The following is a 17,679-nucleotide window of genomic DNA, read 5'->3' on the forward strand; positions in this document are numbered from 1 at the left end:
TATGCGGCCAGAAAACATAAGAAAAACTCATCACTGGCCATTAGAGGAATGCAAATCAAAATCACAATGAGATACCATATCATGCCAGTAAGAATGATGATCATTTAAAAGTCTGGAAACAACAGATGCTGGTGAGGACATGGAGAAATAGGAATGCTTTTACATGGTTGGTGGGAGTGTAAATTCGTTCAACCATTATGGAAGAAAGTGTGGTGATTCCTCAAGGATCTAGAACCAGAAATACCATTTGACCCAGCAATCCCATTACTGGGTATATACCCAAAGCATTATAAATCATTCTATAAAGACACATGCACACATATGTTTATTGCAGCACTATTTGCAATAGCAAAGACTTGGAACCAACCCAAATGCCCATCAATGACAGACTGGATAAAGAAAACGTGGCGCCTACACACCATGGAATACTATGCAGCCAGAAAAACGAATGAGTTAATGTCCTTTGCAGCGACATGGCTGAAGCTGGAAACCATCATCCTCAGCAAACTAACACAGAAACAGAAAACCAAACACCGCATGTTCTCACTCATAAGTAGGAGTTGAACATTGAGAACACAGGGACACAGGGAGGGTAACATCACATACCAGGGCCTGTTGGGGGGAGTAGGGGAAGGGGAGGGAGAGTTTTAGGACAAATACCTAATGCATTCTGGGCTTAAAACCTAGATGACGGGTTGATAGGTGCAGGAAACCACCGTGGCACATGTATACCTATGTAACAAACCCGCACGTTCTGCACATGTATCCTAGAACTTAAAGCAAAAAAAAAAAAAAAAGAAAAGAAAAAGAAAAATAAAGAAATGTAATTGAGTTTTCTATATTGATGTAGTAATATCTTTTGGGTTTTCTATAAGAATCATCATGTCATCTGTGAATAATGGGAGATTTTTAGTTTTATTTCTTCCTTCCTAATCCCTAAACAAAATTTTTCTTACTGCACAAACCAGGGCCTCAAATAATCTTTAAATTCATGCCCATAAAGCTCAGAGGAGCCCCAATGCAATCACGCTATATTCCATTTACTCTTCCAGTCTTCTAGAAGACTGTATCATACTTCCTTTCCCCTTAAATCTCCAAGACCTGCTCCTCTATCTGCGCCTTCACCCAATAACCTTTTTAAAGAAAATCTAATTCACTTGCAAAAAATGGATGAAATCAGAAGTTCTACAGACTCCCAGTCTCAATCTCCTACCTCTTGCATGTGCACCCATGTATTTTGCTTTCCCGAATGTTACCATAAAGGAAACATTCCTAGGATGAGCTCAACTTGATCATGGTGTACAATCCTTTCTATATTCGGATTTGGTTGGCAAATATTTTGTTTAGAATTTTTTAAGTCTCTGCTCATGGGAGAGATTAGTCGGTGATTTTCCTTTTTCAAACTTCCCTTGTCAAATGTTGGCACTGATGTGTATACTAGCTTCATAAAATGAGGAACAACCCTCTTCCCATTTTCTCTTCTCTGGAAAATTCTGTCCAAAATTGAAATTACTTGTTTCTTGAATATTTGGCAGATCTTGCCAGTAAAACCATTTGATATTTTCTTGTCAAAAATAAATAAATAAAAGGTAACTGCTGATTTATTTTTTAATGGGTTATTTTTCTTGAATCAGTTTTGTTGAGATATACTTTTCTACAAATTTGACCATTTCGACCAAGTTTTTAAATGTGTTATCTTACAGTTACTTATAATACTCTTATCTCGAATAACTGCAGCATTTTAGTTATATCCACATATCCACTTCCATATCCTTGACATTGGTTATCAGTGCCTTCTTTCTTTGTTCTTGTTCAATCCCCATAAAGACTGTCCATTTTGTAAGTATTTTTTAAAAAACCTCTTTTATATTTTCTATTTTATTACTTTCTACTATTATTTTCTTTTTGTACTTTTCCCTAAGTGGATGCTTACCGCCATATCAAACTTTATCTCTTTCCTCCCCCAATACGTGTATTTAAACCTATAAATTCCTCTTTAGTGCTGCTTTAGCTATATCCAACACATTTTGAAATTTAGTATTTTATATCATTTTGTTCTGTATTTTATAATTTATATTATGATATCTACTATGACCCAATATACATGATGCTTCTTCCCATTTAGGTTTTCACTTTTAATTTTTTTTGGCTTTCTACAATCGTCTCTGTAAACTGTACACATCTTTTATTACTTGTAGTTCTAGTTACCTTAGAGTATTTGTCTTATCACAGATGTCATGTTTATGCCATTTTCTAATTGGTCATTGGCAATGAATAGTAAATACTGTTGCTTTTTAAATTTTTTAAATTGATTATTTTATTATTTTTTTTTAGATTATTTGCCATGACCAGATGTGATTCATACCAGGGATCCAAGCATGCTGTTGATTTTTTATATGTTGATTTATATTCAGCAAATTTGATGCATTTACTTATGACTTATACTTGTGTCTTAGACCCTTTGAGCAGCTCTAATAAAATACCATAAACTGGGTGGTTTACAAACAATAAACATTCATTCCTCCAAGCTCTGGAGGCTGGGAAGTTCAAGATCAAGGCCTCTGCAGATTTGGTAACTGACAAAGGCCCACTTCTTCATAGAAGAGGCATTACACTGTGTCAACTCCTAAAAGCCTCACCATCTAACACTATCACCTTTGGGGTTAAGATTTCAGCATATGAATTTTGGGGTCACATTAACATTCAGCTCATAACAACCTGTTTATAGTTGGTTCTTCATTTGAATATCATGCCATCGGAGAATGGGACCAATCTTTTATATTTTTTTCCAAGTGTTCTATACACTTTTTATTTTATCTTATTACGGCTTATCTTCTAGACAATGGCAATAAGAGTGATGAAAATGGACCCTCTATCTTTTTTTCCTGAATGTAAGGGAAATTCTTCTAAAGTTTCACTGTGGTGCTTGTCTTCCATTCCATCTTCCTTCAAAAGTGTGTGGGTGTTAATGTGTGTATGTATACATGTTTATGTGTTTTTATACTTCGGAGACTACAGAACTCAAAATGACCTCTCCCAGGCTGCCTCACATCCTGGATGTGATTTTTGGTTTGGACAATTAGATGTGCCTGCATGCAGATTTCCCTAAAGCTGTAGAAAAAGCAGAGAACTCAAAACCACATCCTGGTGCCAGCATAGATAAGAGATCTGATCTGAAGCCTGAGACTATGAAGGGTACATTAGCCTTGAGTACATTTATTAAAGCCATCTGTTCTTATCCTTCCCTAACCACATTGTGTCTTCCTAAGCTACCAGAACACAGGTATCACTCACAAGCAATTGCAGTCAAAGTTTCCTCTTAGAAAAGCAAAGAATAAAGGGGAAAAAACCCACCATGTCTTTTCTTTCTAATAAGTATTTTGTTGTCTAAATAATATATTTGCATTGCCTAAAAAATGAAATACAGATTAACAAAAAAGGAAATACAAACTACTCATAACTCTTCCTCCCAGAGGCAATACCCCCTCAAACTTTCATTCTTTTTCTGTGTATATATACCATAAATACGTTTCTTAAGTCATCTTATTTTTATCAGTCCTGTGCAATGCAATTTTCAGGGTTTTATTGGTGAATAGTGTGTCTAATAGCAGACGCCACCCAAGTCCAACATGACTGCTCAGTGAAGTGTCTGTAAGGGAAAAATGCTGTGTGCATCTAATTCTTTAGGAGAGACTCCCAGCACTTCGAGCTGCTTAGGTGCTCTCTCAATCATTAATGTCTCAACTCGTTTACTGTCAAACTAAAACATTTACTAAGAGTGGCAAATAGAGATGGAGATACCTGCAGATAAATTATACATCAAGATTGTTCCATGGCTGAGCTGAGCACAGTAGCTCACACCTGTAATCCCAGCACTTTGGGAGGTCAAGGTGGGCAGATCACTTGAGGGCAGGAGTTCAAGATCAGCCTGGCCAACATGGCAAAACTTTACTAAAAATCCAAAAATTAGCCGGGTGTGATGGCATATGCCTGCAATCCCAGCTACTTGGGAGGCTGAGGTGGGAGGATTTTTTGAGCCTAGGAGGCAGAAGTTGCAGTGAGCTATGATCTCACCACTGCATTCCAGCCTGGGCAACAGAGGGAGTATTGTCTCAAAACAAAACAAAAAAGGCTGTCTCAAAAAAAAAGATTTTTCCAGGGTTGGACTTAGATATGAACCATAGAAAACAGTCCTTGTGTAATAACCAAAAGAAGATACGCATGCAGTGAAATTATCTCATAAAACGAGAGCCTAATTAATGGAATAAGTTAGCACAGAAAAGGAAATATCAACAATAGGATGGGTCATTTCTTCCATGGAAATGAAAAGCATTTTTTTTCCTTATATTAGTTTGCATTTTGCCACCCCAGCTGCACAATGGGAGCCCTTAGAATTTTGTTTTCTTAGACAAACAATCTCTCTACGAAAGCCTTATGAACTTTGGCTGCTGCTCTGGCCAAGTCTTCAAGGCAAACCATTTTGTTGACTTCTGATACTTGAGAGATGCCAGCAGATCAGGCTGAGTTGGCTCCCGGCGAGAATTCTGTCCAAGAATCTTGGGTCCCCTGTGACTTAAAAAAAAAGAAAAAAAAAGTTTTCTGAGAAGAATTTGTTTACATTCTGTTAATCTGTTCATCATTTATGATGGTGTTAAGGACACGAAGCTTACAGTAAACTGGATCAACAGTAAATTTTACTGGCACTTCTTAGTAATTATTATAAAAACTCTGTGTCTAACCTAGTCTATTTTTGTTTTCACTCATCTCCTACCTCCCATAAGGCATATGTTATAGAGATGCTCAGTAAACAATGAGCTCTGCATAGCAACTACTCTCTTCCCAAGCCCAAATGCTCTGTTTCCACCTTTCTCTTTCTCACAGAGGGGTTGATTTTGCTCCCGGAATAATACGTGAAATTCTAGTTGTCTTCAAAGTCAAAGATACGTGGCCATTCCTTCCTGTGTTCAAAACAGAAGGGAAGGCCAAATTATTTTTCCTAAGTATTAAGGTGAGTCTTAGCTTCTGGTTCACAGTTTGTTTCAGCAAGAAGAGCAGTTAATCAGTGACTTCTATTCGGAGATAAGAAAAGTTTTTCTTGAATATGACTCTTCTCTATGGCTTTGTCTACAACCCCTTTCTCTTATTTCCACTCCTAACCACTCCCTCCCCACTAATAGTTTTAAGTGGGGAGGGAGTGGTTAAGTTTAAAATAGCTCTGTGTTCTATAAGAGAAAGCTTACAGAACATAGAGTTTTTTTTAAATTTAAATTTTAAGTTCTGGGGTACATGTGCAGGATGTGAAGGTTTGTTACCTAGGTAAATGTGTGCCGTGGTGGTTTGCTGCACCTATCAACCCATTAGGTATTAAGCCCAGCATGCATTAGCTACTTTTTCTAATGTTCTCCCTCTTCCCACCCCACTACACCCCCTGAGAGGCCCCAGTGTGTGTTGTTCCCTTCCCTGTGCCCATGTGCAGAACACAGAGACATTTTTAATGTTACTCATAACTAAAGTTCATTTCAAGGAAACTGGAAATCTCTAGAAGAAAGGAGGTTGTTGTATAAAGTGTTTACCAAAAATAACTGGTTAAGAGCCAGATCAAACATGAGAAGGCAGAAAATGATAGCAATATACACCAACCTGCATCCAGAAAGCACACTCATGTCAATGGCCAGAGAAGAGAAATCTGCATCCATAGAATGTATTAGTCATGGTAGGCTCACTGATGTATTGCACAACCCAAGATTTAAAGCAACAGAAGGTTATTTCTCACTCATGAAACTCTTGTGTATTTGATAGAGGCAATCCAGTGGCAATTCGGAAACCCAGGGACCTCTTCTACATCCATAGAATCTTCTCTATTCACTTGATGCCTGGGGAGAGAAGAGGGAGTTGCCTGTGGGAGGGTTTTATCAGTGGGGTCTGTTAATGGTACACATTGCTTCTGCTAACCTTGCATTGGTTAAATATTTCATCACATGGCCACTTATAACTGCAAGGGAGGCTAGGGAATTTAGTTTACTTGCATGTCTAGGAGGAAAAGGAATTGAGTTTTGATGACACATGGCAGGCAGCCTTTGCTGAGGATAAAGACACTTATTGAGATAAACGTAGAAATGAAAGAATTCCAGTAAGCTCACTGTTCAAGCTGCTGTATCATTACTTCCTGTCTCCATTTCGCTTTTAGCCCTAGCATCTGAGTCTACACCTCAACCCAGGCCTCTAGCTAGGAGTGAATTTAATCTATCCCGGGGAGCTACATGCTCTTCATAGAGGGGGATTTTCCTTTACTGAGTCCTGATACGTCTTCTGGTGGATGTCACTGAGACACTTCACTGTCATACTTTGCTACTGGGGATAGAGAAGCAGCACAAGACTTGACTCCTGCTCTTAGTGAACTAGCGCTATTTCTTAGGCAAGTTAAGACCAATATGTATGAAGCAAGTAAAGAATAACCTGTCACTGTAGATGACCAAGGTTGGGGGACTTGATGGTCTGGATGGTGTGGGCCATTCATATCATGACACTGACAATGTGTCTCAACGCTCTTCTGAAAGAATGGGGTGTTAGTCCTTTAAAGATATTCATATACTTTTCTTTGAAATATGCCCAGCCCCAGTCAAGCTCTTCACTATGTGTCAGTGAAATAACTGAGTGGGTCATTTTTTTTTTTTTTTTTTTTTTTTTTTTAAAACAGAGTCTTGCTCTTTCAGGCTGGAGTACGGTGGTGCAGTCTTGGCTCACTGCAACCTCTGCCTCCCAGGTTCGAGCGATTCTCCTGCCTCAGCCTCCTGAGTAGTTGGGACTACAGGCATGCGCCACCATGCCCGACTAATTTTTGTATTTTTTTGTAGAGACGGGGTGGCGTGAGCCACCACTTCTGGCTGAGTGGGCCATCTTAACCACTTTTTTCATTCTACTAAATAAAATAAATAGGTTAAACAATCTTAACTGCCTAGATTGTCATTCTTACAGCTAAGGAGACCCATCATTTCCTCCTCATAAAAAATATAAATTAGGCAAAAGTGATATCAGACTGGTGAAAACTAGGAGAGTTGGTTCAGCCCAATCCATTTATTTTATTTATTTTTATGATGATAACTAACTTTCATTGAGTATCCATTATAAATTGAGTGCTATATATTGTTTAGACCAATAAATTTAGTGTGTGTGTTTATGTGGTCTACACACACTTTAATACATATGCTTTTTTTTTTTGTCAGATAAAAGAGGAGAGAGCCCTATTCTATTTTGATATCCAAATTTCTAAGAACCCCTTGCTCTCACAAGAATTCTAAGATAAGTTTTAGGTGAAGAGGGAATCTAAAAATTGAAAAATATAAATGGAATGAGAAAATCTAAAAGACCACTGTTGCCATCTCCCTTCCACAACCTACTTGAGAAATCCTTCCCTGACTGAGAGTTGGGAAGGTGAGGCAAAGGCTGACTCTCCCAAGTAGACAAGGACTGCCTCCACTGCTGTGGTCCCTGCACTGCTGAATATTTCCCAGGACACAGGCTTCCTCAGGTTTGCCATCACAAGCAGGTGACTAAAGAGAATTCTTTGGCTTTGCACAGGCCTGGCTAAAGCTCTGTTGTTGGAAACTCTCTGAGGAGCTCAGGCAGAAAACTTTTTTATTATGATTTATGAGATCCCAAATGCCACCATTAGCACTAGATGATTAAATTGGGACATTTGTTTGGACTGCCCTGACAGGGTTATATACTACCCCAAGGGCCTCAGGTGAACATTGCATGCCATTGCCATCATCGCTTGGACGTCACCAGCAGGAAATATCAGAAGCCTCCCAAGACAGTCTGTCCTTCTGGGCTTTCCAGAGAGGCCCTGGCAGACAGGAGAGGTCGGCCTTGTCTGGACTGGTACCTGGCCTGGAAGTCTTCACCCCCTAAAACCCAGAGCTCCACCATGCTGGATGGGGGCCAGGCGAGTGCCTTGTGGTAGCACTATTAAGAATAGAGTGTCACCGCCTGTCAGATGCCCTGTGTCAAAGGTGACTGCAACTGCTGCCTCCTCATTGATCAGATTAACCAGGCACTCACTGGTGTTGAGTTGCAAATGTCTGGATTTTGCTTCCCCTGGCAGCAGCTCCAGGGATAGGAGAGAAAACAGCTTATAAATTCTTTAATGATTTTTGGAGCCAAAGGCAGCTTACAGACTGGATTTTCAAGTAATGTTATTTAAAAGGTTCCAAGGGACATGAAGGTAAATAGCTTGAAAAATAGGGGGAAAGTTATTTCTTTCCTCCTCTGAGAACATTACATAGATTGAATTAACCCCTAGTTAATTCCTCTTGTGATTATGAGACACAGAAGAGAGCATTGTGCTGGGGTGTCTGGATCCCATTTGGGCAGCCCCCGCCCTTTAGTCTCACTGAATGTTTCTCTTTTGAAGAAACATTTGGAAATCAGAATTTTAAAAGTTCTTTTTTTCCCCAGATCAATATATGTCCTTGCAGATATATAAATATCAGCTATTAAATATCTTTGGGGGATGTGTAAGGAAGTTTTATGACAAATGCACAACGAGTAATCTACCCTGAAGATGTTCAAAAGAAGCTGGGTATTAACACAAAAGGGTTGTTTCAGGAAAGGTGCAGGCACTAGGTGGAAGGGAGGATGAGAGGATTTACAGACCTTGCTGGTCCTAAAATTCTATTATTTTCTTTAGCCTATGTCAGTTTGAATATTTGAAAACTAATGCATTACCTTTTTAATGGATGTGGAAATAGACGCTAGGTAAAGCATTAATTTTGTTTCCTGTATTCCCCAGCAGAAGCCTGTTATTAAGATTGGGGCACTTTTCTATTGCTATAGTGCACCTAATCTATATCTCATGGGATAGTTCTTATTTCAAACCTGCAGACTCTCTGTACCGTAGGTCCACCTCTGTTTGACGCATGACCTGTTCTGATTTGAGATTTAGAGAATATTGACAATTTATTGATAGGGCAGGGAGATGTCAGTGATGAAAAGAGCAAGCCTTTATATGTAGAGGCCATGTAGGAAAGCCTAGATTTTCTAACATCTTGAATAATTTTGAGTTTCTTTGGCCTTCAAATATTTCAGTCCAAAGAACCCCTCCTTCAGTGCCTTCTTTATATTTAAAAAAAAAACAAAACAAAACCATCACACCAGAATGTATATGTATTGATCATGGGTTTAACCACTAGTTACCGTCACTTGCAAGTAATGCTCCCAAGCTTCGTATACACAAGGTGTAATCTCAGGTTGATTTCCATGGGTGCTGTGGGACCAGTCATAGTGCTTGGTTCTCATAGCTGCAGGGATGGAACTGGAATGAGCAGTGGGTCAAGGCCCTCTGCCTTGACTTCCTATTGTGGTCCTGCTGTCATGGGTGTTTTTTATGCTGCTGACCTCACCCTATTCCTAAGGAAAACATTGATTTCCTCACTTCCTTCTCTTTCTTTTTTTTTTTTCTTTTTGCTATCTAAAAGCTGAGTTTCTAAATCTAACCTTTGAAATGGCGCTCAATGGTGAAACCCTTAAAAAAGAAAGACTTATCTTTCCCCTTGTCTCCTCAGTAAATATCTCTCCTTTGCAAGCAATTTGATGTAGAAAGTAAAATGCTGAGTTCATGGATGAGAAGGCTGAGCCAGCTATCATAAAGGAAAATCCATTTTTGAAACAAATATTTAGTTCACATTTATTAGAGTATAATTTCAATGAAGTTAGGGATCTTTGTGTATTTTGCTCACTGACGTATCCTAAGTGCCTTAAACAGTCAGTGCCCAACCAGTATATGTTGTGTGACACTGTTGTATACCAGGCTGTGTCTTTAGAAAACATGCTGTCTTATATAGGAGGCAGCAGGGGTGTGTGTATATGTGTGTGTGCATATGCGGTGGGGGTACCTTGTTAAAAGGATTTTATAGAGATAAGTTTACAATGCACTTGTAACATAGAGGGGGCATGATTGTCTGCCTTGTGAGGGTTGTGGCAGCTTCAGAGAGTAGGTGATATTGGCACTGTGTTAAAGGACAGGTACCTTTGCAGGGAGCTGGGACATCACAGGCAGAGGGGACAACATGAATAGAAACAGGGAGGCATGTGACTGTACATGGTGTTTGGATATGGGCTAACTACAATTTGGGCTTCCGTAGTTTTCCTTTATACAATTTGTCCACAACTTCCTGCCTTTGTCATTCATTCATTTATTCATTCATTCTTTCATCCATACTAAAGTTAACAGGCATTCCTTTTTTTTTTTCAGTCAGGGTCTCACCCTGTTGCCCAGGCTGGAGTGCAGTGGAGAAATCTCGGCTCACTGCAACCTCTACCTCCTGGGTTCAAGCGATTCTCCTGCCTCAGCCTCCTTACAGCCACCCACCACCACACCTGGCTAATTTTTGTATTTTTAGTAGAGATGGGGTTTCACCGTGTTGGCAAGGCTGGTCTTGAACTCCTTGACCTCAAGTGATCCACGCACCTCAGCCTCACAGAGTGCTGGGATTACAGGCATAAGCCACAATGCCCAATTTCAACAGGCATTTCTTGAGTATCAACCAGGTGTTAGAAATAATTCTAATTCCAAAAACTATTTTAAAATTCATATGGATTCAAAAAAGATCCCCAATAGCCAAGACAATCCTAAGCAAAAAGAACAAAGCTGGAGGCATCATTCTACCTAACTTCAAACTATACTATAAGGCTACAGTAATCCAAACAACATGGTATTGGTACAAAAACAGACACATAGACCAATGGAACAGAATAGAGGACTCAGAAATAAGACCACACATGTACAACCATCTGTGATCTTTGAGAAACCTGACAAAAACAAGTAATGGGGAAAGGATTCCCTATTTAATAAATGGTGCTGGTAGAACTGGCTAGCCATATGCAGAAAATTGAAAATTGATCCCTTCCTTACACCATATACAAAAATTATACAAAAATTAACTCGAGATGGATTAAAGACTTAAATGTTAAACCCCAAACTCTAACCACCACCCCCCAGAAGAAAATCTAGGTAATACTATTCAAGACATAGCCAGGGGCAAAGATTTCATGACAAAAATGTCAAAAGCAATTGCAAAAAAGCAAAAATTGACAAATGGGATCTAATTAAACTAAAGAGCTTCTGCACAGCAAAAGAAACTATCAGAGCAAACGAACAACCTACAGAATGGAGAAAATTTTTGCAATCTATTCATCTGACAAAGATCTAATATCCAGAATCTACAAGGAACTTAAATTTACAAGATAAAAAAGCAAACAACCACATTAAAATGTGGGCAAAGGACATGAACAGACACTTCTCAATAGAAGACATTTAGGTGGCCAACAAACATATAAAAAAAAACTCAACATCACTGATCATTAAAGAAATGCAAATCAAAACCACAATAAGATAACATCTCATGCGAGTCAGAATGGTGATTATTAAAAAGTCGAGAAACAACAGATGCTGGCGAGGCTGCGAAGAAATAGGAATGCTTTTACGCTGTTGGTGGGAATGTGAATTAGTTCAACCATTGTGGAAGACAGTGTGGTGATTCCTCAAAGACCTAGAACCAGAAATACCATTTGACCCAGCAATCCCAATACTGGGTAGGTACCCAAAGGAATAGAAATCATTCTATTATAAAGATACATGCGTGACATGCATATGTTCATTGCAGCTCTAGTCACAATAGCAAACACGGAATCAACCCAAATTCCCATCAATGACAGACTGTAAAAAGAAAATGTGGTACATTCTCACTGTGAAATACTATGCAGCCATAAAAAGGAAAAAGATCATGTCCTTTGCAGGGACATGGATGGAGCTGGACATGTTAGTTTGCTGAGGATAATGGCTTCCAGAACATTAACACAGGACAGAAAACCAATCACCATGTGTTCTCGCTTATAAGTGGAAGCTGAACACTGTGAACACATAGACACAGGGAGAGGAACAACATACACTGGGCCTGTTGGGGGTGGGGGGCAGGGGGAGGGAGAGCATCAGCAAAAATAGCTAATGCATGCTGGGCTTAACACCTACGTGATGGGTTGATAGGTACAGCAAATCACCACAGCACACGTTTACCCATGTAACAAACCTGCACATCCTGCACGTGTTACTTGGAATTTAAGAAGAAGAAATAATGTAATTCCTGAGAACATAGCAATGAGTGAGTGAAATAAAGTCCCAGCTTCCACGGGGCTTACATCCTAGTGAGGAGAGACAAACAACAAGTGAGGGATTATAAAAGGAATAAAAAATAAGACAGGATAAGGGGATATAGTCTAATTGGGGAGTGATTTTAATCAGCGTAGTCAGGAAAGGCTATATGTGATGAAGACATTTCCATAGAAACATGAATACAGTGAGAAAGTGAACTTTGTAGTTTTCTTTTAAATCATTGTAGATGCATTCCTGTCAGCCTTGGAGAAGTATGAAATGAAAGAGGGATCTCCTAGTTGACTGATGTGGTCATTTCTAGAAAAGAGACACCCTGGGACTATAGACCCAAACTGCAAACTGAACGGACTCACTGAACTCCGTTAATATGACTGCTCTATCTAGGGGCCAATGGCTCAGTGCTGGGACCTGGACTGGGCTGAAGAGGAGATACACAAACAACTCTGGACAGGTGGAAGGAACCTGCTTCTTTGGTTCTCAAAGGAAAATAAAACCCTCATTTTGTAGGAGAGGCTGCTGCTGAAGTTGCTGGAGAATATCAACTGCTGAAAGACATCCAAAGTAGATTTTAAATGTTCTTTGGGACAGAGTTACAAGAGCTTTCTATGAACATACTTTGGGTGGAGTGATCAGGCATGTCAGTTTGCCTCAGCCTGATCTGTAATAAGAATAAAAAAGACTTTGATGGTTGTATTGCAGGTATTTATAGATTTTTAAAAATGTTTCTTCTTGTTGCTGGTGAAGTATGCTGTAAAGGGAGCCCCATTAAACAGAGTCAGTGCTTCAGCTGGTGTAGAAGCCTGTTGCATATTAAATGTTTTATAGCTGAACTTTATTACACTCAAACTTCACAGAGACATTTATGAACCTTATTGCATTCTGATGTGAAATGAGCCCAGAAAGGTATTTCTGACTTTATGGGAATGGAACTTTTCATTGTATGGAACATTCAAAAAGCTGCTGAATGCCAGAGTTCAAAGTGATTTTGCAAATGTCAATTCCTTTAATAATCTTTGAGACCTTAAGAAATTGCTGATGACTTCTACGTCTTGCATCTAACTTCTTTTTCTTTTGCTTCAGTTGTGGAAAACATGTACAGTTGCCTCAGTAAAAGGAATGTGTGGAGTTTGTGGTTTATGCTGTATTCATGCCATGGTAAGAAGAGAGACCCTGTTTATTGCTAGAGGAGACATATAAGGAAAATAAAAGGGGGAAATATCATTTAATAGATAAACAGCCATGCCCAACTTGACATTTTTCTAACCCCTTCAAGGACACACATTCCTGAAGGTCTGTGAGTCAGTACTTAGAATACATTTGGAAGATTAACCATTAACTTGCCTTAGGGAATTTTCTGCTATGCTGACCCATGGAAACTTAGGCCTTTCCAATTCTCATTCATTCATAATTAATTTATTCCACACTTACTGAATTCTTTGTATCAGACACTGTTCTAGGTTCAGATGATAATCAGAGGAAAGCCACAATTCTCAAAGAGTTCATGGTCCAGTCCTGATGATTAAGCAAAGAAACAGGCAAAACAGTTTTCTGATTACAGATGAGAAAGATCCAACTTAGTCACAGTGTGGGAGTTGGGAGAATTCAGGCAGAACATCAGGAAATTCTGGGAGGAAGCAGCCCCTGAATTGGGTCTTCAGGGATGAGTAAGAGTTAGGCAGAAGACGTTAACATTGTTACATGTGCACAGTGCCAAGATAGGCAGTGGGAAAGATATATACACATTCTGAGATCAGGGAGAAGCATGCTTATTAAATAATCATTTAGAAAAAGTGGGACTCAAAATGAGGACCTGCTTCCCATTGGGATCAGTTCTGTAAAGCTCAGGTCTTAAGTATATAATAATCCCATTATCTCACTCTGTTTATTTCTATTGTAATAGTCTTAATACTTGCCTTGTACCAATGGTTTATACATTGTTTTCATGTGTATTAAACTATTTAATCTTCATAACAACCTGGTGAGATTGGTATTATAATTACTTTATAGATGAAGAAATGAATCAAAGAGACATCAAGTGACTGTCCAAGGTCACATAGCCTAAATGTAGCTTTATTGAGCTTCTAAATAGTTATTGATTGACTTGATATATATTCATTCAACACTGTAAGTATGTATCTGTGTATTTACTCAATGCACATTTATGGGGCACATACTGTATGCCAGGCAGGCACTGTTCTAGATTCTGGAGATACCACAGTGAACAAAGATAATTTCAGATTATGATCAATGCTGTAAAAATAGACACAGTCTTAGCGTGACTGGAGGCAGGAATCACATTTTAGATAATTGCTTTTATTTTCTTGGCTCTCCAATGTTTATCTAGGGTTTCTTTCTGGGTTTTTATCTAATGTATGGTATTCAGTGGAAATCTGCCAAGTGCTCCCATGAGTAAATCACCATCTGAGATTCTTCTGCTATTTTCATCAATGTATAAGAAACAATAAGAGCTCCCATTTATTGAGAGACCTGCATGTGCCAGCCTCTTCGATGGATATTTTTTTATTAGTCTCATTTATGGGGTGCTGGTAGAGTCTATCAAAGCCCCAGGATTGTTTCTCAGCTGATCTTTTATTACTTGCAGGGTGCATTAATCACCTTCTTCCTCCCAGAGGCAGGGGACAAATCCCAGGATAACTCTCTGTTCCAGCTTCTTAGATGTCCTGCTAATAGCCATCCCTGCTGACAGCAACCAGCAAAGGCGGCTGCCCTACAAAAACATCCTTTCAAAGTATTTTTCTCTAGAGCTTTTTTTTTTTTCCCCCAAACCTTAAATGTTGGCGAGAATGCCTCACTATTTATTATTAAAAACATGTCTGGGGATGATGATAGTGTGTTCGTATGTTCAACAACCAAAGCTAACCACAAGTAGGTAGTCATACAGGATACTCTCCAAGCATGTCATAAGGCCTCACTGATCCCAAAATATTATCAGCACCATCAGCCTGCAATCACACTGCCTTCCTCTCTGCCATGACTGATTCTTTAATATTAGAGTAAAAGTCCAAAGACAGAGCTTTGGACAGGGCCCTAGAGGAGTATGATGGCCCCAAGAGGGAAGGAGGCCTCCCTGCTCCATCACAGCAATCTGGACGTCTTCATCAGTTAGTGGATTATTACTTGGAAATCTAAAAGAACTGGGCTTAGATGGATTAAAGATGGGCAAATAAACCATTCCAGGATGGATTCAACAGTTGCAGTCCTGGAGGAGGTGCCAGTGTAACAGCACTGGGCCAGGAGGGGAACCTGAGTGGTAACAATTCCCTCCTGCTCATCCTCTTTGTTCCTTTTTATGTAGGGTTAGCCTTTGAGACTCCGACAGCATCATGGCTTTGAAGAACATGACACTGCCCCCTGCACATAGAGCCTCTTCCATTTACTCCCTCTTGGGCTTTGGGCAAGCCACTTAAGCTTTTTGAGCCTGTTTCTCCATCTTTAAAATGGAATTAAAATATTTACTTTTTATTTGAGATTGAAAGCCTCTCAATCTTTTTTGAGACTGAAATAATAGATGATGTCTTAGCCTCTTTAAAGAGATGTGTGTAAGTCTGCTTCACCACAGGCAATTGCTGCACGGAAGCTCAGCAATGTGTGGTATTATGGAAATGCTTCAGAAGCAATCCTTCTGGTTCTCAAGGATTCACAAATAAGACTCAACAGAGTACCTCTGCTTTGTTTGCAACAACAGCCTGACTTGAAGTGATCCACTGACTTGAAGTATTTATACTTCTCCAAACAAGGGATGTGATTTGGTTTTTGCCTATTTGATATGAAACATGCTGGTATGCCAGCATTTGAGCCAGTTTTGAGTTGGGGGCCTTTCTAATACATTTATAGCATATATAGGCCTAGATAGGATTACTTTGGTTTATGCCATGATTCCTGTTTCAATCAGCAATAGCAGGAATTATTCCACCCAAAGTCTAAGTTTGAGCCACTTTTTCTTGGGACTGTTACCATGATAGGTATTGAGAGGCTAAAAGATGTGTTAGTGGATACAGTAGGGGCATCATAGAGCATAGCTACATATATATGTAGACAAGCTCTACAAAACTGAAGCTTAATTAATGGCCTAAAGACTAAACTGTGGGGTATTAAGGAATATCAGCCACTCTAGAGCAATGTGGTAGGCAGCCAGAATCTCAAAAGGCCCCAGTGTGGCCACATCAGTTCGGGATACTCACATATGCCTAGAGAAGAGAGCACTGCTTTGAAGCATCCAGTCACAGTTCCATGCGGACAACACCGTGGGCAAGGTCTTTTTGACTCTGAAGGATCGTTGTCATTTATATACAATGCATGCATATGATTACACATACTAATGAGAAGAGAGGGACAGCAGCTGAGTGTCCCAAGTGTTTATCATGGTTAAATTGTTTATTTGATGTCACTTAAAATAACTGGCTTCTAGACATAAATAGCTCGGATGAAGATATAAGACCTGATAGCTGTTTTGGCTCTTTCCCCAAGTGATAAAGTTCATAGTGAAATGGCTCCAGTTGACTTTTTAGAGAAATACATAGCTGCATTTGTGAAAAACAGGAAGTTAACTGCAGAGCCTCTCAATTTATTTCTCTTACATCTTTAGAAAAAAGAACCTCACAAGTTGTAAAACTGTGGGAAAAAAATATCCTTTTTTGAGTGATGTGGGATGGGATAAGATCTGGATCCTATGTCCCAGTAGTAAGGAAGCCAAGTTTTAGGACAACTTTAATTTTGTTGTGAGTGTTGTGTTTGGGTTCTTTTTCTCATGGCTATGGCTGTGTCTTTTGAAGAGAAAACCCATGAGGACTGGCCAGTGATCCAAAGAATCACATGTGTTGCCAGCTTCTTTTGTAGCAGCCTCCCAGCCTTTGCTATTTTCCAAGTGGCTAATCCCACTGATTTTAATGACATCTCCCTTCCCCCAAATCAGTTTAACTTGAAAGAGCTCTTCAATAATGCTTGACAAATCAGAGATTTGGTGAAAAATCTGCGATTGTCAGAAATTGACTTTATCATGGAAAATTCTTATTGACAGTCTTCTGGGGGTACATGATCCAAGAGGCAGTGCAGTTTTCTATCACCTCTGATATGAAGCAGCAAGAAGAGATTTGCTATTTCTGGCTCCTAGGTTCCTAAGCTATTCCAAGGATTTTCTGCTTATCCTTCTCTTGAAATGATATGAATACTGTCCTTGGCTCATGAATCCATCCCATTGCTATGTGGTACAGCTTTCTTGGTGACTTAGAAAAATAAGTCATAAGAACACTTCTAGAATAAATCATCTCGGTTTTGTCTTTCACTGAAGACAGTCAACACTGGTCTATTCTAACAGGCTAGTAGTATGGTGGTAAAAAAAACTTGGTACCTGTATTAGTCCATTCTCATGCTGCTATGAAGAAATACCTGAGGCTGGGTAATTTATAAAGAAAAGAGGTGTAATTGACTCAGTTCTGCATGGCTGGGGAGGCCTCAGGAAACTTAAAATCATGGCAGAAGGCACCTCTTTG

At 39.4% G+C, this 17,679-nt stretch overlaps 1 long non-coding RNA gene, besides 1 other annotated feature; it reads right to left on the minus strand.

Annotated features, from left to right (window-relative positions):
* LOC105370777 (uncharacterized) overlaps window positions 1-17,679 on the minus strand; it is a 556,255-nt gene that overhangs the window by 16,251 nt on the left and 522,325 nt on the right.
* Window positions 12,612-13,811: an enhancer, noted in NCBI's record as "CDK7 strongly-dependent group 2 enhancer chr15:39185869-39187068 (GRCh37/hg19 assembly coordinates)". NCBI's record gives its function as "activates an origin of replication core promoter dependent on BRD2, BRD4, P300/CBP, MED14 and CDK7 cofactors, with strong dependence on CDK7, by STARR-seq in HCT116 cells {active_cell/tissue: HCT116}" and the evidence as "EXISTENCE:reporter gene assay evidence [ECO:0000049][PMID:35650434]".

Source organism: Homo sapiens, chromosome 15, assembly GCF_000001405.40.
Source record: "Homo sapiens chromosome 15, GRCh38.p14 Primary Assembly".
Classification (NCBI taxonomy): Eukaryota; Metazoa; Chordata; class Mammalia; order Primates; family Hominidae; genus Homo; species Homo sapiens.